The sequence below is a fragment of the Homo sapiens genome, chromosome 2 (genome assembly GCF_000001405.40).
Source record: "Homo sapiens chromosome 2, GRCh38.p14 Primary Assembly".
Lineage (NCBI taxonomy): Eukaryota > Metazoa > Chordata > Mammalia > Primates > Hominidae > Homo > Homo sapiens.
The window spans coordinates 95,508,190-95,532,270 of record NC_000002.12 but is presented as its reverse complement, the minus strand read 5'-3'; the positions used below and the strand labels follow the sequence as shown (position 1 = coordinate 95,532,270).

The following is a 24,081-nucleotide window of genomic DNA, read 5'->3' as shown; positions in this document are numbered from 1 at the left end:
GGTTTTCTACAGGCAATTTTTTGTTCTTTATTAATCTTTCACCTTATAAAAGGGAACAGTCTGTAAATAGCATTTATAAGCATACTTAGTAATACAGTCCCTATGATCATATGGAAACAAATAAATGAAAGCTGGTGTAATGGTAAATGTGATTCAGTCTCCCTTGGGTCTGGGCCTTTTGGGTTTGGGTCCCTCTGTGCGGCCAAGGCAGGTCAGTTGCAGAGAGATGGTCCAGACCTTGCCAAATGGTTTCTATATGAGGCTTCTGGGTCAACACTCCCTTTCAATAAAGACCTGGGCTATGATGACTCCAGCCGTGTTCTGCGCCACAGTGGGTGGAGTGCTCACAGTGGGTCCTCGGGCCATGGGAGACCCCATTAAATACACTGAACAACATGCCATCAAAGCACTTCCCATCTGACACTCCCCAGGGCCCATAGAAAGCCACAGCAGCATCACAGCCTTTGCCAGCACAAAGCCCAGTGTCCTTTCGGTTTATCTGTGTGTATGAGTACACACACTTAGGCTCGCCTGTGCACACACTCACACCATAGTGTACACTGTCCACAGTGGCACTGCCTGCTACTTAGGGCTGTGCCTCTTATCAAGTCTTATTTCAGGCTGGCTCAGCATGAGGAAATTATGTATGCAACACTGAGTTTCAACTGAGTCACTGGAAAATTACTCAAATCAATTCAGGTAGTGTGTGTTTTTCTTTTCCCTGTTTCTTTCAAAAACAACCTCCAGAGGAGTTTTTAACCACTTATTTAAAATGTTAATGAAGGAACCTGTGAGTGCAGAGGCACAGAAACGAGCAGCTGACTCAAGTTATTCCAATGCATAAGCAAGTTCCAAATGCACTGAGAGGCGTGGATGGGAAGATGCAAAGGGTGCCTTAGGAAGAACTGCTTTTGTTGTAAGCCCTTGGCAGCTCCCAGCATGCATGCTGTGACGACATTCACCCCACTGCACTCATCATCATCAATGTGACTGTTGTTTTAGAAGGATCTGTTGTGGTCAGGGTTCCACCTGTCCTTCCCCATACCATGGCGCTCCAGGCAGTTCCAGGCAGGTGCCGGCCAAAAGGGACTGGGGTAGAAACCAAGGACCAGGCCCGTAGAAACAGGGATCCTAGGGGCTTCCAAGGGGGAAGACCGACTGCCAGGTGCGGAATCCACAGAATGACCCACCGGGGAGGCAGAAGGACATGCACAAATCCCTGGGGAGTGTGTTAGAATTTCCCCAAATACTGTAAAATGGAAAAGTGCTTGCACTTTATCACGTGAAAGACTAATGCTATGTAGGAGCTGACACAGCACGGGAGGACTATGACCACCTAAGGAACAGTGAGCTGTGTCAGGACAGAAATGAGCAAGCTTGAGTCTCCGGGCACATCTCAGGAAACAGTAATGCAAGGCGCACGTCAGGGCTGTGACTCACTCCTCAGAGCAGGCTTGGGTCCCCAGTGTAAGAATGAACAGACAGCCCTCCCACATCATGTAGTGTGGATGGTGGGGCTGCAGGGCATGTCGTGCTCTTGCCGGTGGGCTGCCAGAGACATGTCAGACCCACTTCTTAGTGAGGGCCCATTCATTTCCTCTCTGGGTTGCATTTCATCATAATCACTCGGTACCCACGATTCTTCCTGACAGCCTGAAACAGCAGGCTTTGCATCCTTTTCAGGCCTGGGGTCTGGTCCTACCCCAGGGGCTTCTGTTTCACCCACAACAGATTCGCCTCCATGCCAGAGACACTGCTGACAGCAGGGAGAGAAGCGAAAAGAGGGGTCCAGCACAGCCCTTCTGCATTCATATATCCTATTTTCCATCCAACATCACAAACTCCTTGTCTCCTGCTCCCAGGAGGAACCTTGGGTCTCAGGAGTGGTCAATGCTGAGATGACAAAGCCATTGCAATTCTGATCTCCATAGTCTTGAGGCCTCTAGTGTTGCCAGGAGGCTGTCAGGAGGAGCTTGAGAAGAAAGAGGCCCACGATGTTTCACAATGTTTATCCCAAGTGGAGCCAAGGGACAGCCTCTGCACACCGAGGTAATTCCAGATGAATTGCTCCACGCTGTTCCCTCCTCCTTTCTGGTGTTTAGTGCTGGCTGACTGTAGAACACTTTATTCACAGAAGCAAGTAGAAAAAAATGTCACTCTTAGTTCACATGCTCCAACGTCAGACTGGGAGTGACCGGTTCTGGAGGGAAGAACCAGGACTGGCTCACTTGTGTTCTCATCAGCCACCTCCACGCACACGGAGGTGGATTTCACTGGTGTCAATACACGCATTCACATCCATGAGAGGCCACTCAGAGGGGCAGAAGCAACTTCACACCCACCATAAAGCCACTTCTGCTGCCAGAGTCCCCAGTCTCCAATCACCAAGAAATTCTCCACCAAGGGGCAAGCTCCAGCCATCTAACTTGTAATCAGTAGCATCAACATTGTCTGAGAAATGTTTATTCTGTCCAGTTTAAGCTTACTTTACACAAACACTAAAAACTAGTAAAATAGATTTTAGCTTTTCCTCTAACTATATTTATATATAAATCCCTGAGAAGGTAGCTGTCAACTTGAAATTCACTATCTACAGCTCCCCGGAAGATCAGACTTCCCAGTCCCACCAGAGCGCCCCATGCAGCTGTCATTTTCTCTCAAGTTGCATACACTGGCCAGGTAAAGGCAGCTTCTACTCAGCAGGCAAGTGGCCCTCTCACCTTCAGATTTGCCAAAGAAATCCGGGTCCTGCCCTACACTTGCTGGCTCGGCAGGCTTTTCAAAATGCAGGTATCTCTGGAGCCATTTTGTGAACACCAGGAGCATCACTGGACAAGCCCTGTGCTGGCCCCAGGGTACTCTGTGCACCTGGGTAAGGCTGGAACACACTGGGGACAGGGACCCAACATACTCACTCCGCAAGAGCGTGGGACCTGGGGAAATCGCCAGTTGTTTGCTGTCCTGCCATTGCCGTTCTACACATCCCTGGAGACTATGAGCATGGGTTGTGGTGCCGTAGTGGCTGGGCAGTATCAGAAATGTCCATTTTTCACCTGGAAGCAGCAGACACCCAAGGCTCAGGGTAGAAGTGGGGGCTCCATACCATTCCCAGTGCCAACTTCCCATGGCAGAAACAGGAAGGAATGTCTGGCAACCCACCAAGGGTCAGACGCCACATCAGCCTGAGCAGAAGCTGCCTGACACTGGCTGTTCCAATGACAATTAGACGTTCTTGGGAAGGTGGCGCCCTTTGTGGGAGCTCAGGATGGGTGTCCTGGAAGTGCCACTTAAATGGCACTGAGGCCTCTCAAAATCCCTGTGTTAGAGCTGCAGCTCTCCATGTGGGCTGCAGTGCAGTCACCTATGGAGCTTTAGGACAGGCCCAAGGCTCAGTTCCCTGGGCCAGTGCCTCAATAACTTTCGCAGTTCGGCTTGGAGAAGCGAGCCTGGGAGACCACGTGGCACTGCCTGGCTGGGTCCTGGGCTGACAGAGGTGAGCGTGGGGCTTGTGGTGACTTGGTAATGCTGTGAATTATGTACGTGTGGCAGGAAGGTGCCACAGTGCTAAGGCCCCGCATCTTGGAAATTCCATAGGGTCCACATGAGGATGAACTAAACACCAAATGCAGTCCTCAAAGGAATAATAAAACAAATACCCACATAAGGGAATCTCTGGAACTGAGTCTGGAAGAGGGGGCTGCCTGGTCCACTCCAGGAGAATTTGCCTAAAACAAGTTTGCTTCTCATTGCATTCTCTTTGCTTCTTCTAAACATCACCTCCTCTAGAGGTTACATTACACCCCATTCCTGTAATTTACATCATTCTGGGCTCCTTACTCTTGTTGCATCCTTTTTTACATTTTAAGGATGCCTAGATTCGATTTACTTAAGAGCATATACGGCTTAATTTTATATTTCTGGTAATCATTTATTACATTTCCCCCATTTTATCAAATGACACATTTTTCTCATGTCTATTTTAATATGTTAAAGATTTTTGTATACAGTTTATCTAAAACTCCTTGCTTAAAATGAGTTTAATTCTAGCAATACAGACATGCCTATCTCTGCATTGTTTTATAATTTGACGATAAATGTTTTTCCTCAATATATGACTGTATTGGATAATACTTTTTAAAAAGATACAATAAAATCTGATCTCTCTGTCTCACTTGATCATGTGGCTGAACCAGTCAATCCCTCCATCAAATAGAAATATCCGGCATCACTTAATCTAATTAATAAAAACATCCACCCATGATGAGAAGACCAAAGCAAACAGCCCAAAAAGGAGAGAATCCCATGATTTCTGTGTAAAGTCCTACAGATATCATAAATATTTATTGCTGGAAACAGTGTTTTAAATAAAAGGTCTTCAGGTAAGTGTATAAAAACTTCCTTGGATACAAGGGACCCTATCACTTGTAAAACTTGGCAAATTGGACAACAATTAAAAATACAAAATTACACAGAAAATATCCTTTAATAAATTGATTTTTTTTTAATTGAGACGGAGTTTGGCTCTTGTTGCCTAGGCTGAAGTGCAATGGCGCCATCTTGGCTCCCTGCCACCTCTGCCTCCAGGGTTCAAGCGATTCTCCTGCCTCAGCCTCCCGAGTAGTTGGGATTACAGGCATGTGCCACCACGCCCGGCTAATTTTGTATTTTTAGTAGAGATGGGGTTTCTCCATGTTGGTCAGGCTAGTCTCAAACTCCTAACCTCAGGTGATCCGCCCGCCTCGGCCTCCCAAAGTGCTGGGATTACAGGCGTGAGCCACCGCGCCTGGCCTAATAAATTAATCTTTAAAAAAATCTTAATTGAGGTTCTCTAAAGGGAGCCTTTTAGGGAACATGCCCCCTAGGTGTACTGATTGCTAGGGTGGCTGGTGTGAAGCGAATCGATGTGGCTCCCCCAGCCCCTTTCTGGGAGCATCCTAGAGAGACAGCGTGGAAACGCGCGCTGCCCGGTGGTCCCGAGAGCTGCCATGGTGCCCAGCCCCGCGGCCTCACCCAGCCCTCAAACCCCGTGCCAAGCACCCGCGGACTCTCACGTCCTCTTCTTCCAGGGCGGCGGGCGCTTCTCCTGCACCTTGGCCTGGCGCCTCTTCTCGGCCTCCTCCGCCTCCCGTTTCTCCTCCTTGGCCACCTTGTAAGGCCACTTGGGTATCCGCAGGTGGCCGCTGCCTTTATGCTGCCCTTCCGCGCCGGCCTTTTGGGTTGGAAGGTGGGCGCGGGCACCTTGCTGAGGCGGACCTGGGCACCACCACGCTGGGCCCCAAGCTGCTCTGCTGCAGGCACTGCAGGGGCAGGAGGCTGGCCGTCCGCGGGGCGGGGGCGGCGGAGCCCCAGGACCCCGGCAGCCGGGCAGGTGGGAGGCCGGCTCTTGGGGAGGCCTTTGTGGAGCCAGCGGCCGCTAGGCCGAGCGGCTTATGCTACTCTGCGCCCTCCTCTTCGCCCGCCTCCTGCGCCTGCCTCCCCCCACCCCTCGCCGCGCCGCCGGAATTTCCTGCGCCGCCAGGATTTCCTGCACCGCCAGCCGCCTCTTCCCCCAGCACAAGGTGCTCTCGGGGCACATAGTCTGGCACGCGAGGGCCCCGGCGGGGCTGTTAGAGGCTCGTGGTCATCCTGACCATGTGGTCCAGGGCGCCCCGGTCCTCTGGGCCCCGCATGGAGCGCGGCGTCAGCGCGGACAGCTCGCAGTCCCTGAGCCTCTGCAGGCAGTTCTTGGAGCCCTCGGGCTTTTGCGGCCTCTCGGGGAGCGGCGGCAGCTCAAGCTGGTACTTTTTCCCCAACAGCTCCCGGCAGGGGCGCTCCAGGAGCCTCTGCATGAGGCGGACGTATAAGTGGCCACTCCTCTGGCGACATCCCACGGCGGGGGCCCTCGCGTGGACACCCGCCCCTGCTAGCTCAGGGCTCCGATGCGATCCGTTCGACCCTGCATGGCGGCTTTCAACCCGAACGCGTCCCTCCTTCAAGATCAAGACCCTGAACGTAGTTCAACAAGTAGTTGGTGATGATAGCGTGCCCTGACTGGGCCAGGATAGCCTCTTTAGTAAAACAGCCACGAAAGTCATGAAACAGATGCTCAGCTCCTTTCTTCATTTTCACTTTAATTCGGTGATGCCTCTGTGTCTGTCTGACGACATCTCTCCTGGGGTCTGTGATTCTGCTGATGGTCTTCAGTGCCTACTGAGAAGGGTTCCTGGACATCATCAGGTATGAAAACCTCAAAGCTCTCGGTCCTCAACGTGAGAACCCTGGGCCAGCGGCATCAGCCTCACCAGGAAACCTGTTCTTCTGCTCATTCTTGGGCCCCACCCCAGGCCTATTCAAAGAAAGACTCCAGGGGCAGGGCCTGGCAGCCTGTGTTTCCACCAGATCTGTGTTAAAGCTCAAATGAACCAGCCCACGTGATGCTGACCAGGAAGCACAAGGCTGAGAGCCAGTGTCCAAGGCAACGGTGCCCATGGGGCCAGAGGCAGCTCCTGCCTGTGCAGCTGTATTTAGGGCTGCGTTCCCCTCCCTGTCCTGCCAGTTGACGTCAGTGTGGGGTTACTCAGCTAAGGCCACCACGGTATATCCACAAAGCCGTGGTAGCAGGCGACATTAAGGCTGGTCCAGCCATTGTGGTCAGTCTCCTGCGCCTTCTCAACGCTCACCCCTCGCCGCACCAGCGTCCGCAGCAGCCCCATGCCTCCTGGACGCCCTCCTCCGGGACGCTCTCCAAGCCCTCGACGCCGTGCTCCTCCTCGTCCTGGAAAGGGTACAGAGTCGTCCCAGGCTATGCTGCAGGTGTGGGGCCCTGGAACTCTTTGTAGTCAGCGCGGTCCTCCTCGACCTGTGCGCCTAGGAGTGGGGACGGCGGTGGCGGGGTCATGCAGCGCTCCCAGCCACCCTGCGGCCGGGTCCCAGCCAGCAGCACCATGCCAGCGGCCGGAGGCGTGGGCTGGGGGCCGGGGCACCGTCCCGGAAAACCGGGCGCGCCCCAAGGTCCCTGCTTCTCGCTTCCGCGTCCCCAGAGAAGCCGTAGCTCCCGCCCCCAGCCCGGCAGAAACCTCCTTTCTTTACATTATTAAGTTTGTTTTCATTTTAATTTTCTTAGGACATTGATAAAATCACTTTCGGATTTTTGAGATTAAAAATTAAATAATTTTCATCTTTACCCTTTTTAAATTTTTCACACTTTATTTTAATGCTTTTATTCTTTTGTAAATTTTAATTATTGTAATTTATATCTTCAATTATTATGGAAGAATTTTAGAAAAGTCTTTTCACATAATAAAGACTAATTAATGAACTATTATTTATTCTCTCCTCTATCTCAAATACGGACTTTAAACTTTTAGAACACTTTTTGTTTTGAGACTCTTGTTACTTATGTGACATTTTAACTATTCACTCTTCTAGTGAATTTTTAATGTCATTCAAAGGGTACATCTTTCTACACTGAGAATTAAACAAAGTTCTCAAAAATATTCTCAGATAATTTAGAATTTCACCTTCCACTGGCATGTTAAGTATGTTCTCCTTCCCTTCTAATGCATATTTTCCTCACACGTCCTCATGTTATACTCCTTATTCACCCTCCATGCAAGAGGTGATTTTATTTATTTATTTATTTATTGAGACAGAGTCTCAGTCTGTCACCGAGGCTAGAGTGCAGTGGCATGATCTCGGTTCACTGCTATCTTTGCCTCCTTGGTTCAAGTGATTATCCTGCCTCAGCCTCCATAGTAGCTGGGATTGCAGGTGTGCACCACCATGCCCCGCTAATTTTTGTATTTTAGGTAAAGACAAAGTTTTACCATGTTGAACAGGCCAGTCTTGAACTCTTGACCTAAAGTGATCCACCTGCCTTGGCCTCCAAAAATGCTGAGATTACAAAAACAGCAACTAAACGCTGGAATGATGACTGGGAACTTGTCTAGAGTCTCCAGTGATTATCCTCCTTATAACAAGGCAGAAAGCCTTCCTCAGAATTATCTGGACTGACATCACTCATTGTCCAGACCTGTTAACAGCAACAAGTGCTGTGAGTCTCAAATGTGCTCCTTCAATAATGCAGTAGAAGGCCTGAGTTTCCACATAATAGTATCCTTGAATGCCTGGAGACTTAAGGCACAAGAATGTATTGATCCTATGAACTTTATGTTTTGTAAAATTTCAGATTATGTGAGGTGTTTGGACAAATTAAGTTTCAGGGTGATATCCACTATTGAGACAGAAAATTAGTTTAAAGAATTAAGACCTCAAAGTCCAGAATGAGAAAAAATTGTTTTTCTTAGAGCCTCCTTATAACTGTCTTATTTGTTTTATAGATGTAAGTACTAGAGGACAAGCTCTACCTGATATAGCTGGCCTAGACATATGCAGATTTATTAATTGTAGAAGAAATAATTATACCTTTCAGGTAAAATGGCTATGCAAAATAATTAGTTGCTGTTTTTGAGACAAGTTCTCACTCTGTCACCCAGGCTGGAGTGCAATAGCACAATCAGAACTCACTGCAGTCTCAAACTCCCAGCTGGTCTCAAGCAATCCTCCCAACTCAGCCTCCTGAGTAGCTGGGACAACAGGTGCACACCACCACTCAAGGCTAATTTTCTTTTTATTTTTGGTAGAGATAAGGTCTTACTATGTTGCCCAGGCTGATCTCAAACTCCTGGCCTCAAGTGATTTTTCTGCCTTGGCCTCCCAAAGCACTGGGATTATAAGTATGGCCACTGTTACCAGCCTTAGATCATTTTTTTTAATACAGATAGCTTCCCAACTAAAAATATTTTATTAGAATTCTCTGAATTCAGCAAAGCAATGTTATTACTGACCCAGTCTTCACTTATTTTCAGCTGACATGGAAGAACAAAATTACCTTTATTTTTAAATTTATTTTATTTTATATTTTCAAGGTGCAAAGTATGTTGTTTTGAGACACATATACATAATGAAATGATTACTATAATGAAGAAAATTAACAAATCTATCATATCACTTAGCTGTGCTTCTTTTTTATGATAAGAACACCAAAAATCTAGTCCCTCAGAATATTTCCCAAAAACAATACATTATCAAATATGCCTACAGGTTGTACATCAGATTCACTTATTCTACTACGCCTTTACAACTTTTGCCCTTCATTTACCTATTTCCTTCCCACCAATGTAACCACCTTTTTTAATGTATTGAACTTTTAAAAATAGATTTCAAATATGAGTGGAACCATGAAGGATTTTTCTCTGTGTGTCTGTCTTATTTCACTTAGGAAACGTGCCATTTACATGCCTCCTAAATTTAGTACAGAAATAGAGTGCTAGTCAAGAATGTGTCTCAGTGTTGTTATATTAATTTTTTCCAAGTTATCCTCTTTATCAATTTTTACTTTTTGTACTATAGAAAAGTCAAAATTATTGTATTAAAAAATCTGTAACAAGGCTATTGATAAATAACTTCTTTTAGGGATAGAAAACTCAGGAAGTTCAAGATTTCTGGATTAATGATTGACAATGTTCTTAGTGGTCCCTCTTTGATTTATTTCAATTGTAAGTAATTCTTGGTGATATTCTAACATAAATTCTGACAGGTGAAGAGAATAAATAAATTAAGTATCTCTAGGAGAATCAATAGAATAAGATTATCTTGGTTAAATAGCTAAGAAAGTATGCTAAATAGACACAAAAACTTTTTCATCTTCCAAAATCAGAGTTAAATAGTAAATAATCGTAAAGTAGCTAATTCTGTCTTTCTGCAAAAGTGAATCTGAGCTAAATTAGAAGAATGTCAGGAATAAATTTTTCCTTGAAAACTAGGAACAAATAATGTAATTAAATTATGAGGCACTGACTGTTGCATACAGTTTTATGTTGCATAGAGTTTTAGCATCAACAGAAAAGCTTACAAAACATAGGTGAAAATCAAAAAGGAGTGCTGGGTTGGAGCCCTAAGGTGAATAATTTTATCATCTCAGATCACTTGGAAAAAGGCAGCGAGTCCAAAAGAAGCTGGTGATAAGCTTTCTCTCTGCTAACCCCTAATGTTCTGCATGAAATATGTGGAGGCAGAAGAGAGACAGTTTATTATAGAGTCTACGTGGTATAGAGCGAAGGAATAAGAACATTTCTGATAAGTATTTTCAAAATTTGAAGAATCATTCCTATATAAATCATTCATTTAAGAGACTAAAATACAAGTAAGATGTTTCTTGCCACATAACCCTCAGCTTAGCCAGGCTCTAAAAAGGACAACACTGGACACCTTGACAGTGGTAAAAAGCAGGGTTTACTCACTCTTGAATACTAAGATCTGGTGCTAACCTTAGGCAGCAACTTGTCTATTTGGTTGAGGTTCAGCTCAAATCTCTTGGGTTATTTTCAGTTGTGCCAGTCATTTAATTTATTTTCTGAATCAAATAATAAGAATGGATATGGTTTTGAGTGTAAACAGCATTCCCAGATATATCTTACAACTTGGTGTGCCATCTGCCTAATTTTGAACCTATAGGACGGGAATAACTGCATTGTGAAAAATACCAGGTGATTTCCTTAAAGCCAAATACTCTTGTCCCTCCTACTTTTCTTTTGGCTTTCCTGCTGCATGGGACGTGGCAATAAATGGCAGTTTTCTGCACACAGAGATAAAATTCACTTGTTGAGGATGTCAATCTTCTTGACAACTCCTATATTGGTACAAACATGTGAGAGCAATGCACCTTCTGAATCATTTCAAATTTGTGGTCTTTGTTAGAGCAGGTAAGCCGGTGCCCTAGGAGACATAGCTATTAACGTTCTATTATAGAATTTTCCATTCTGTATCATCTGGATTCTTATTTAAAATGTAGACTAATTTTGTTCTTTCTACTGCATAAGAAGGTTTATACCACTTTATGCTTAGTAAATAATTAAATTTATATGTCAGTTTAAATAAGGACAGTCTCCATTGTTTTAAGTCCTTTTCCTGTTCCCCATCATCTTATATAGGAAACTTCCTCTTTCAATGGTTTATATTAAAAAACCTAAGACAATTGAAATCAACCCTATAAAAATTATGCTACAATTATTTTAAACCCTAACATAATAGTATTATCTTTGATATGAATCTGAAAATCAATTTATTTCTTATCTTTTGATAGATATTCATTAGTATGTTCTATCCTATTTTGTTACTTATATTTTGGAAAAGTTTCTTAACGTTAGAATAATATTTATACGTATTAACTCCTCTACTTATCCATTTATTCATCTTATTTATTGTGTAATCTATTCTAAAAATTTCACTGGATAATGGTAATATCTTAGCAAAGAAGACAAATACTGCCATTGCTTCCTTGGAATTTTCAATCTGGTAGTAATAAGTATAAGAGTTTTCTGAATATTATAATCTGATATAATATACTCAGAGAAGATGTTATAGCAGAGCAACCCAGCACTGAAAAACTGTTGTATGAGCTGAAATGTGATTAATAACTAAGATGTTGAGAAATAATAAAGTCTGTGAGGTCAACTTAACTTGGTCAGACTTAAAAAGAAAATAAGCACTCTTCTTTATTCTTTATAAGATAAGGTATCCACTACTTCATTTTTCTACCCCAGCCTGGTTCAAATATACAAGTAAGACAAATGGTTTATAGTGTGTACACACAGAGAGTATGAAAACCTACTCTCTGAAAAAGAAATCAGATTAAACAAAACGTATATTGTATGATTTTGTTTATCTGAATGCAAAAACCTAAAAAGTAGATTATGTGTTCTGAAGGAATGGGGGAGGGTGAATGGAGAATAAATGTTAATGGGTATTGGGATTCTTCTGGAAGTGATAAAAGTGCACAGGCAGTAGAGAGTTCTGATGGCTACACAAGTGTGATATGCTAACAATCTCTGAATTAAATACATTAGAACGTGACTTTCATGGTAAGTGAATGAATCTCAACAAAACTTGTACAAAAAAAGCCATTATTGATGTTCTAGTAAAGATTCCACAATAATTTACTAATTAAAATAACTTAATTAACAAATGTACACATTCAAGTTGGTTATCCAATTTATAACCATAAAGTAATTACATTCCACGAAGTTACAATGAGCTCACAGGCTCTCACACATAGGGTCTTAGGACACTATTTGCCTCATATATGGGATGTCACAATAAATCATCATGAAACCAAATTTTCATGTACAACCAAAGCAAAAGAAAGGCCTCAGAGGGGAAGAGAAGGAGGAAGGAGGAAAACCATAGATAGGAGAACCTTTAGAAATATCAAAAAAACTCACAGATCCATTATCATAATCCAGAGACACCCCAACCCGACCCAGAGGCCTTTGTACATACTGAATTAAAGGTGGAGAGTTGGTGGAGAGACTATAGTGATTGCTCCTCTTTGAGGAAATTTAAAAAAGTGTTTCATCAGAATCAATAGCGATATTGGTATCTGCTGTCCTGGAATCTGAACAGACTCCCAGAATCCAGTTGGAGGAGTGGGTCACATCCACTTCCCAGTAATGCCTGCAGGAGGTGAATGCTTGCGCTCCCCACACAGCAAAGCTCTCCACTCCGTGGGGATCCATGGGTGCACTGCGACGGTCATCTACAAATATCACATGTCTCACATCCTCAGAAAGGCTCATATAGCAAGAAGTCATTTCCGTGCTCAGAGCGTTATCCACTGACAAGGAAAAAATATTATATTAGTGAGTGTTATGAGGGACAGAGGCTCTGTGGCCCAATTATTCACTTCATTTGCTCTTCTTCCAACAAAATACAGAAAAAAGGAAGCCAAGAGAGTTCAGACCCATGCATCCATGAAGATAAAATGTTATTACAACTCTACAGCACAAACAATTATATATTATTCCTTAATGTCTACATCTGCATAGTTTGTTTCAGGACATATCTAAAATGGTTTTTTTTCTTCAATAGAAAACTCTTCTTGTGTTATTTGTCTTTAAGATCATCAACAGGTAGACATCAATTTGCTATGATATGAGTATTGGAATGTATGTTATGCCTGTTATGGACACAAACATCAAAAATTTGGTAGAAATTAACACACGTAAAGTTTTTAAGTTTCTGAAAAAAATACTCTGGCTTTACATTATCTGTTTAGTCCCTGATTCAATCTACTCTGGGTTCCTGCCCTCTGCTACCTAGACCTGCTCTCTAGAATGGGCCTAACATGGTTAAGCCATGTTCACAGATCCCTCACCTTTCAGTTGTTACGATATGTATCTGATGGCATTAGAATTGTCCTGATTATGGATATTTTAGTCATTTTATTTGTTGATCAAAATGTTCTGATTTTGTAAATAATAAAGATTACTTGTAGAATGCATGTAAATGCACATAGTATAGAAACAATTAAAAACCATTATGCCAAATCTAAACCTTCAAAATTGAATTAAATTGAATAAACACGAAATACTGATGCCACCAGGAGAACTAGTGTCTTCATAACTACATGATATGAATATTCTTTGTCTTCTTATTCTGCAGATAAACTATGTATCTTGCTTTACATTTTCATCAAGCTGTAAGTCAGGAAATTGAGTTTTGATCATTGTAATATTACTACGCAGGTAGAGAAGATGCACATATTTTGGAAAAGTATGGGTTACCTACATGTCAAAAACAATAAAACTTAAATGGGAAAATCCTGAGCCAAGGGACCCAATAAGGAAATAATTGGAGGCTGGACTGCCAAGCAGCTGGCTCTTACCTCTGAAGTTGTTGAGCATGTCTAGGACTCCAGTTATGCACCATGAAATGAGCTCTGGGTTCACTGGCTGGGGCTTTTGCATCTGTGCCAAATCACTCCTGCAAAAAATGGCCTCAGTGATATTTCCAGGCCCAGAGCTAGTCACACAGTCATACAAAGATATCATATTTTCATAGAAGATGTTTCCTCAGAATTCTGCCAGTTTTGGTTAACTGGGTGTACATTTTATTCCACACTCTAGGGGCCATAAGGATGTTACTTTTTCTAAATTTTACTGGCGTAAAAATCAGTGTGTCCAGATATGTTATTCTCAGACATTATACAACTTCTGAAGTCATTAAAAGTCATGGGCTGCCTCTGCCCATCACACTCCCTGAGGGTATGCAGAAATTCTGGAAATATTTCAGAGAGCAGAAAACTCAGATAAAAACCTTTGGGACCTCAGCCGGCCGTTGCCACTAATGCTAGTCAGTGTCTAACAGAGAATGTTCACTGAGACAAAAGGCTTTAATCTTTTGTGCAAAACAAAGGAGTCTAATTCCAGCCTGAGAACCCTGCTGCTGAGGGTCCTGAGGCAACCATTTTCCTGAGGTCTTTCCTAGTACTGGGTGTATGGTGATGGAGCAGGCCCGGGTCATTGATGCTTTTAGGAACAAAACCTCCCTCCTCAGCCTATCCTTAGGGAATCTCTGTCCTCCCTCTGTCTTTTTTTTTTTTAACCTCCCACCCCTCTAGAGTAGAAGACACCTCTATGATTCCTCAGAGTAATTTTGTATTAAGATCTGTGGGGTAGGGCTGGACAGGATGGATGGATTGGGAGAACAAACTTCAGAATGGCAAATTGTTTTTACGTATATTTGAATTCATACAAATTTTAAGATGAAAACTTTCCAGACCAGAGAAAAGAAGACCTCAGGCCCTCTTTTGAAACAAAATCAGAAATAGCCACTGAGAATGATGTTAGTACCTCAACATGTGTACATCCCCTTCATTCGCAAGAGAACAAACTTTTCAGAAATAGCATTTTTTAATGTAAACTCACCTTGCTGATACATTTCCCACATCCTGCAAAAAAAAAAGATACTCTTAATTATGAGACTTTTCCTTCTGCATCTTTTCTCACACTCTTGTTTCTTTCTGTTTTAGTGTTTTAATAATGTATATCTTTTTATTCCCGTCTAAGGAATCATTCATGTCTATGTTAATAACAGAACCTCAACTTAACAATGAAAAGCTTCATCGTTTTCATAAGAAGAAAGGAGCTCAGCAAGAGACGGTGGAGTAAAGCAAAGATATCTAGGTTTCCAGTGTCATTAATTTCCTAATCTTATTTCCAAAGAAAGTTCTGACCACACATGACAACTATTAAAACAAAGCAGAGAACCATATGAGAAACAGAGTACATGGACATTGATGAGCAGCTTTTACAAACCTTGCCCAGGCCAGGGAAGACTCTCAATGTCTTCAGCAAATCACTGTTGTATGGGACATCAGAGAGTGAAGAGGAACTAGGGCATATACATGGAGTATTACTAACCTTCCCCTTGCCTAGAGTTCTAATGATTTTAGATGATCTCTCTGTGTGGATAGTACTCCAAATTATATTGAAGAGAACTTTGTTATATGTTATCTACTAAAATGGCAAAAATTTCCCAGAGACTACCAAGGTATGCAGTAATAAGTGACTGGACAAATGCAATGGTGGAAGTCAGACAGCATGTGTCACTTAGCTTAGAGCAGTGACATATGAAGGTGACATTTGCATGTCCTGGCAGCATTGTCCAGCAAAGGCTTCCTTTCTTTGGGGATGGACCCTCCCTCCTCACCTGGAGCAGCTCCACGTCAGGCATGTGGCACGTCTCCCACAGCTCTCTGTACATGTCTTTCATCCTTTCTAAATGTTGGGTCATTCTCACTTGACTGTCTTGTAGTTGTTGGAAAAGCTCTTTTGCTTCTCTTTCCAGTTCCTGCAGATGCAGTTGCTCCTACTTATCGAAAAATAGACGCATCTTTTGATATTGAATATTGATTATCACCTTCCTTAATGACACATAGTCCTGCAGAGACATTTGGTTAAAAGGATTACATGTTCTCACTCTCAACAGAAAACTTCAAATAATTATATGCTGGGTGTAATCAAGCAATTTATAAACTTTGTGCCTCACTCTTTCAAAGAGTCTTGAATATTTGCTATATTTTTCTATTTTTTCCTATTTTTTCAATGCTCCTATTCTCTCTCCCTTTTTAAATCAAAACCTGTATAAAGACTTCTAGTTTCTCTCACTGTGATGCTTCTTCACAGTTCTTATTGAGTCAATTATTTCCTCTATTAATCTCTGTTTTAGGATTTTTCATGTCTGATTTGCCTAAATGTTAAAAAACATTTAGCCATACACCATATTATGCAGTTGTTTTTTACTTTTACTATATTTTTACTCTATATACTATTCTATTTCTTTCATCTTCCTCACACTCAATCTTAGTGAAATGTTGTCTCACCTGCAGTGTCTGATAAGGTTTATACCAACCTTCAAATTTGAACTAGAATACATATCATGCCGTTTATCCAATATACTAGAATTAATTTGGCTAGCTTGTGTGGACTTCTCTGTTTGCAATTCCTATTATATCAATTGAAATCACTACATTTTCTTGGGATGAAATCACTATCTTTTAACTGGTAGTTTGAATTTAGCCAAAAAGTGTAAGCCAACATTGTGTTTATTGGCATAAAAACAAAGGAAACATTTTCATTCTTACCACTAATGAATGAAATTTGCTAGTTTCCTGATTTAGATTGTTTTGTGTCTCTTGATTGATTTTCCATAAATAGTCCATTTCCTTTATAAGTTTCTCCTGCAAAAGAGGCAAGAAGCTTAGCAATAATGAAGACAGTATAGTAGATTTCATCCCCTTATCAATAAAAAAGGCTGTTATTGAAAGAAACATAAATTTAAGTTAGAGTGGAGTGGTCAGATTTTTCCATGTTAAACAAATTTGGTTCTAATAATTTGGATGTGAAAAGTGATAGAAACATAGAGAGTTTTAAGGGACCCTTCAGATAATATCATCAATTTTCTGAGAAACTGGCTTTTATATAACCAGACTTTGAAAAGTGTTCTTGGTGCAAACCTCCTTTAGTGAAGTCTCAACACAGCTATGATTAGAATGTCAAATTAGTCAGCAACATTGAAAGGACACATTTATGTGTTATGATTGACATGGAATAATCACCACTTCCACCATCTGCATTCTCATCACCATCATTATCACAGGCCCTCATCATTCTTATTTGGGATTCTACACAATTCAAACTGCCTTAGAGGCATCATGTACCCTGCATTCCTGAGCAGCCCATCCTATTGGGCTGTGGCTGTGAGCCATGTGCTCTGGTGACTTAGAGCAGGGCCCACAGAGCAATCTCTTATCAGCCTCACAGAAGAGCTCCTTAGTCTCCTCGTGGAGCACACAGATATTGTCTGAGCTGTTGATATTCTGAGGTCTGGTCTGTCTGGCTAGGAAAGCCAGCTTTTTGAGTGCCACATTGGTGTTGAAGTCGGGCTTCTCTGAGATTTCTCTGCACTCAGGGCAGTGCATTGGTGCTCTGCCTTCTTCCCAGCAGAGGCGGAGGCAGGGCCAGCAAAAGCTGTGTCCAGTCAATGGTGACCGGGTCTATGAAGTAGTTCATGCAAATAGAGCACATGAGCTCATTCTGGAAGGCTTGCGGGGTGTCTGAATCCATGTTTCAGAAAATTTAAAAAAAAAAGTGAGAATTTCTTTCTCTTATTTTTATTTGCCCCAATGAAAAGGAAAAAAAAGCCGGTGGACAATTTTCCTTGTCTACTTGAGCTATGTCCAATATGTCTAATAAGTTAGCTCCAGTACAAACTGAGACATAGTAAATGCAAACATGCTGGATTTATAAAGTTTTCCCTCAATAGCCATTGAAGATTGGGTCCAGGACTCCCTTAGATACTGAGCTTCTAAGATGTTCAAGTCTCTTATTAGTAAATGGTATGGGATTTGCATGTAATCTAAAACTATCCTCCTGAATACTTTATGTCTTGATTACTTTGAATGCCTAATACAATGTAAATGCTGTATAAATACTTGTAATGCCATACTGTTTAGGAACAGCAAGAAGCTTGTTAAAAATATGTACATGATTGGCAGGGCGCGGTCACTCACGCCTGTAATCCCAGCACTTTGGGAGGCCAAGGCGGACGGATCACAAGGTCAGGAGATCGAGACCATCCTGAATAACACGGTGAAACCCTGTTTCTACTAAAAATTAAAAAAAAAATTAGCCAGGCATGGTGGCACGTGCCTGTAGTCCCAGCTATCTGGGAGACTGAAGCAGGAGAATCACTTGAACCCAGGAGGCAGAGGTTGCAGTGAGCCGAGCTCACGCCACTGCACTCCAGCATGGGTAATAGAGTGAGACTCTGTCAAAAGTACATGTTCAGTACAGCTGCTTTTTTCTTCCTGTAAATATTTTTTATCTGAGATTAGTTGAATCCATGGGTATGAAATTTATGGATATGAACAACCAACTGTGATTCAAATAAGAAAATGAGATGAGAATAAAATACCTCATGGTATTTTATTAAACATTTTGTTAAACAAGTCATGCTCTCAATCATTCCCAGTTACTTAGACAAGCTTAAAGCCTAGGCAGAGGGTAAAAGCTGGGATGATTTCTGAGTCACTTACATAAGCTGATTAACGAAGAAGCACATTCTGAATCTCGTCCTGTCTCTGTCATTCTATCTCTTTTGATGATTCCATGATGATAATATATGAAAGACACTTAGTATCTATGCTATTATTCTATACTCCCTGCCTCCAAACTCACCTATAAAGTTTGCTCAGACAATTATAAATGAAGTAGGTTTTATCTAAGATTGATTAATCAGAGTGGACTGTCAACTCCTAAAATTATCAATCATTAAATTTGTCCCTTTAACTTTAATATCAAACTCTTCTGTTCAATACATTAAACGTAAATAAGTTCTATTATTTTTAATTTTTTTTTCTGTTGTTGAGACGCGGTCTCGCTCTGTCACCCAAGCTGGAGTGCAGTGGCGTGATCTCAACTTACTGCAACCTCAGCCTCCCAGGTTCAAGCAATTCTCCTGCCGCAACCTCCCGAATAGTTGGTATTACAGGCACCCGCCACCACGCCAGGATAATTTTTTTTGTATTTTTAGTAGAGACGGGGTTTCACCATGTTGGCCAGGCTGGTTTCTAACTCTAGACCTCAAGCGATCTGCCTGCCTCGGTCTCTCAAAGTGCTAGGCTGCAAACATGAGCCATTGTGCCCAGCCGATTAAATCTATTTTCAACAGCTTTCAAATCTAGTCTACAAACTGCAAATTTTGAAGAGATAGCAAATAGACGTTTGCAACAAGAATTTTCAAAGTAATTCAACATTTTTAACATTTACTTTGGTGTACATTATAACCATTACTACAGGCCCACATTCTAGTGTACATTTTAGGTATTTTATGGGTTCTATCATTTCACGAAACTATGGAAATATATCTTTTCACATCTAAAAAATCTAATAATACAGAATATAGTCACATAAAAACAATCAAATAGCAAGGGAACACAAACCCTATGTTACAAATTGAACATACTTTATATTGATTTTCTGTAAAATCACTAAGACAGTTACTTGTTTGCTTAGAAAAGACCCAAGCATGCTGCCAGGTAAATTTAAAGTGTTTTGAAGAGAAAAGGTGAGCATGATGGGTTTACTGCAAATTTTATACTCACAAGGCTATTGTGAATGGTCTCAGTCTAGAAGCTCTGTAGATATCCAGATTAGAAGTAACTCCTGGTGCTCCAAAGCCCAGCAGCCACGATTCCAGTGGGTCCTCACTGAAGGAGACAGAAATCTCTGGACAAGCATCCCTTTAAAGGGTATGGGCCCACGAAAGACCACACTCACTTCCTGAGATTGATTAGATTGCATGGAAAGGGGTAAATTGGCTGATTAGGTTTATAAAGTATTGAAAACCACACCTGAGGGCTCAAAGCTCAACAGACAAGTTTGGAATGAGATGCAAGAAAGTTGACTTAACACAGGTTATTCAAAGAAATATTTTAATTAGCCTGGCGTGGTGGCTCAAGCCTGTAATCCCAGTGCTGTGGGAGGCCCAGGTGGGTGGATCACGAGGTCAGGAGTTCAAGACCAGCCTGGCCAAGATAGTGTAACTCGGTCTGTACTAAAAATACAAAAAAATTAGCCGAGCTCGGTGGCAGGCACTTGTAGTCCCAGCTACTTCGGAGGCTGAGGCATGAGAATCACTTGAACCTGGAAGGCAGAGGTTACAGTGAGCTGAGACAGCGCCACTGCACTCCAGCCTGGGAGACAGAGCGAGACTCTGTCTCAAAAAAAAAAAAAAAAGAAATAGTTTAAGTATAACAATTATTTCATTAAATATTATCACTTGCTAACTTTTTTTTATTTCTTTTGAGACGGTATCTCCCTCTGTCGCCCAGGCTGTAGTGCAATGGCTCAGTCTCAGCTCACTGCAACCTCTGCCTCTCAAGTTCAAGCGATTCTCCTGCCTCAGCCCCCCAAGTAGTTGGGATTACAGGCGCCCGCCACTAAGCCCAGCTAAGTTTTGTATTTTTAGTAGAGATGGGGTTTCACCATGTTGCTCAGGCTGGTCTCGAACTTCTGACTTCAGGTGATCTGCCCACCTTGGCCTCCCAAAGTGCTGGGATTACAAGTGTGAGCCACTGCACCCCGGGCCACATGCTAACTTTAAAATTTTGTTTCTCACTCTGTTTTAAAATTATAATTGCTTAAGTGCCTAGCCGTTATTTATCTGAATATGTTCAAAGATAACACATTAACTGGGATTACCAACACATCTGTGCTGTGTAACTCTCTTGTTTAAAAAAGTATAGCAAGGAACTCAATTGTGTTTCACATAATTGTATATATAATGGTTGATAGAATTAGTTGTATCAGCCTGTTTTTCTTATTTTTACTATTTTATGACTATTTCCTAATGATTGTTTTATATGAAAATAAAATCTGTTTTTATTCATCCACCTTTTTGAATAATTTTAAAACTGATACTTTACATATATGTACATAACTGTCTATAACAATGTTATGTATTCATATTTTTAAAATTATATAATAATTATTTACACAATAATAATTAGTATTATTACTTTTTTTTGAGATGCAGTCTCGCTCTGTCACCCAGGTTGGAGTGCAATGGCATGATCTTGGCTCACTGCAACCTCTGCCTCCCAGGTTCAAGTGATTCTCCTGCCTCAGCCTCCCGAGTAGCTGGGATTACAGGTGTCTGCCACTGTGGCCAGCTAATTTTGGTATTTTTAGTAGAGATAAGGTTTCACCAAGTTGGCCAGGCTGGTCTCGAACTCCTGACCTCAGGTGATCCGCCTATCTCGGCCTTCCAAAGTACTGGGATTGCAGGCATGAGCCATGGCACCTGGCTGCTATTTACACAATAATTATGTGCATAATTATCTTTAATAGTGCATGAAAGTTATTTTTAACACAGTTGCCATACTAACAGATTTTGTTGTCATTTACCATGATTTAATAAATCACCAATGTTTACACATAGTTGTATTCATAAATTATCTAATGTTTGGCGATTTAGGTCATTTCTATAAACTTAAAATTAACAAACCTTGCTAGAAGTTGAAAAAGTAAAGATCTATATAAAAGTCACCATTTACATATTAATAGACATTTAAAAAATTATAAAAGACAGCACATCCCAGAAAAAGATGAAGTGGCTGCCTTTTTAATCAGTCCATGGCATTGCAAATTAGTATGTTTTCTGAAGTGTCATTTGATCAGCATTATGCTTCAAAAAATATATCCAATAAAGTTAAGAAAAGATAATCATAGATACATATATGCAGACTTTTCCAGAAATGTTCTTTGAAAACTGCTTCAAACACTTCTTAAAATGTTGCATATTTTCTACCTAAGTGTAGAGAAGAAAGACTTTCTAGTATTGTCACTTATCAGTCAAAATTCAATTCTACATTTTGTAGACTGCCCTGTATTAGACAGAAATAAACAATAAGCAACTTACGAGATGCATATAAAAGAATAAAAAATAGTTGCAAATTTTAGTGCTAGAAGCTGAAAAAGTTATTATCTATTTTACTACAACTGTGTTATCATGCAGGATAGGTAAGAGAGAAAAAGCAATATTTCCTTACCTAACCAAAAAATACTCTGTCATTTTGACAATGAGAACACTTGGACACAGGAATGGGGAACATTACACACCGGGGCCTGTTGTGGGGTGGGAGGAGTGGGGAGGGATAGCATTAGGAGATATACCTAATGTAAATGACGAGTTAATGGGTGCAGCACACCAACATGGCACATGTATACATATGTAACAAGCCTGCACATTGTGCACATGTACCCTAGAACCTAAAGTGTAATAAAAATGTATATATATAAAAATACTCTGTCATTCAAGTGAAAAATCAGACATTTATTGATTACCAATTCTATGCTAAAAACTGTTCTAAGTGCTTCACATGTTCCAGCTTACTTAATCCTTACAGCGACCCCATGAGATAAATAATATTTTATACTCATTTGAAGATCAAGAAACGTAAGAATAGGAAACTTTAATAAGTTGCCCATAGGCATACTCTAATTAAGTAGGAGAACTAGGGTTTGGAACCAGGCCATCTGTCTCTGAAAACTGCTTTCCTTTCAGTTACATTAAATATGTTGCCAAAGTATGTTCCTAAGGCACCAAATTACATACAATATTTTGGGGGGATGCTTCTCGCATGCTGGCAGAATAGATCAGAAAGTTGAAAAAGCTTTCAAGTATTGTGCAGGTTTTGGTCCTTTTTTTTGAATAATAATATGCACACTGTCCTACATCTACCATACTGTCCAACTCTCTTAATGACATGACAAAAAGCCTGTGAGCATGCTCAGCCACACCCCATAACTAAGGCATTGTGGAAATCCTAGTGTGAAGTGCAGCTCTTCTTTTCAAAACACAGAATGTCTCAGAGGGTCTCATATGTGCGCTACTCTGATTACTCACAAAATGAGTGTCTACTATGGACTCTCCTTACTGGTAGAGATTGGAGCCAAAATTGTAACAAACCTGCAGGTTCTGCACGTGTATCCCGAAAATTTAAGTAAAATTTTTAAAAAGTGTAAAAAAAAAAAAAAAACAAGACTAAGTCCATAAAGAGCTCATGGTCTAGTAGTTCATACAAACGAAAGGACAGTCATCCTAAAAGTCTTCATAAAAGAAATGACACCTAAGCTGAAATCCAAAGGATGAAGGTAGTCTTTTCTTTTCTGATAGTAAAGTCTATGTGACAGCAGTTGTCATGAGAAAAGATTTTGGGACCTGGTATGGTGGCTCATGCCTGTAATCCCAGCACTTTGGGAGGCCTAGGTGGCTTGACTGGTCAGGCGGAGAAGTTCAAGACCAGCCTAGGCAACATGGTGAAACTCCATCTCCACAAAAATATAAAAATTAGACAGGCACAATGGTGCACGCCGGTAATCTCAGCTACTTGGGAGTCTTAGGCTGGACAATTGCCTGAGCCCAGGAGGCAGAGGTTGCATTGAGCCGGGATTGTGCCACTGACTCTGGCCTGGATGACAGAGCGAGACCCTGTCTCACACACAAAAAAAACTGTTAGTTCTGTTCTTTTGCTGGGTTGATGTCCTTGTATTCTATCTAGGCCAGAATGTTTCTGAAATGCAAATATGCCTACATTCCTAGCTGCTTAACCTTATTATGGGATTTTGATAAGCTACAAGTAGTTACACTCGTCTCGATGTCTTCCAAAATGTACTTCATGTATTTGGTGCTCAATGTATGAATCGTTCTTCCCACAAATGCCTTGGATTCTAGTAAGGGTGAGTTCTTTGTAGTTCTTTAACTTGCCATAATCATCCATATTTCTATTATTTTGTATAACATGATTACCTTGTCAGTGGAAATATAAATACGTAAAATTACTTTGAAACACTGTGGCATTGCCAGTAGAATTGACGATCAACAAATTTTATAACCCAGACATTCCAGCTATCAGAAGATACTGTCAGGAAAGAGAATCTATTGAACATTTGCATTAGGAGACGTGTTCACAAAATCAAAATACAAAAATCATTCCAAATGTACAACAGCAGAAAATGAATAAATATATATTTTATTATGCAACGTTTATCCAACTTTGGGTTATCCACTACAAACTCACTCTTGGTTGTTTACATAAATAGATCTGGACCCTTTAAATATTTTTTCTTTGCCACGTGTTAAGATGTCAATTTTTGTGAGTAGAAAGCACTGGAGAGAAATTCCAAAAAAGCGCTTCCA

General features: G+C 41.4%; 1 long non-coding RNA gene and 2 pseudogenes across 1 annotated transcript, besides 2 other annotated features; 1 reads left to right on the top strand and 2 right to left on the bottom strand.

Moving 5' to 3' along the window:
• ANKRD33BP1 (ANKRD33B pseudogene 1) lies at positions 4,892–7,056 on the bottom strand (annotated as a pseudogene).
• Positions 4,978–5,107: an enhancer, noted in NCBI's record as "active region_16187". NCBI's record gives its function as "activates an Ori minimal core promoter by ATAC-STARR-seq in GM12878 lymphoblastoid cells {active_cell/tissue: GM12878}" and the evidence as "EXISTENCE:reporter gene assay evidence [ECO:0000049][PMID:35858748]".
• Positions 5,248–5,537: a silencer, noted in NCBI's record as "silent region_11742". NCBI's record gives its function as "represses an Ori minimal core promoter by ATAC-STARR-seq in GM12878 lymphoblastoid cells {active_cell/tissue: GM12878}" and the evidence as "EXISTENCE:reporter gene assay evidence [ECO:0000049][PMID:35858748]".
• LINC03052 (long intergenic non-protein coding RNA 3052) lies at positions 5,517–7,398 on the top strand. The gene has a single exon (NR_182300.1). It is a non-coding gene; the product is annotated as a long intergenic non-protein coding RNA 3052 (long non-coding RNA).
• TRIM64FP (tripartite motif containing 64F, pseudogene) lies at positions 12,159–17,444 on the bottom strand (annotated as a pseudogene).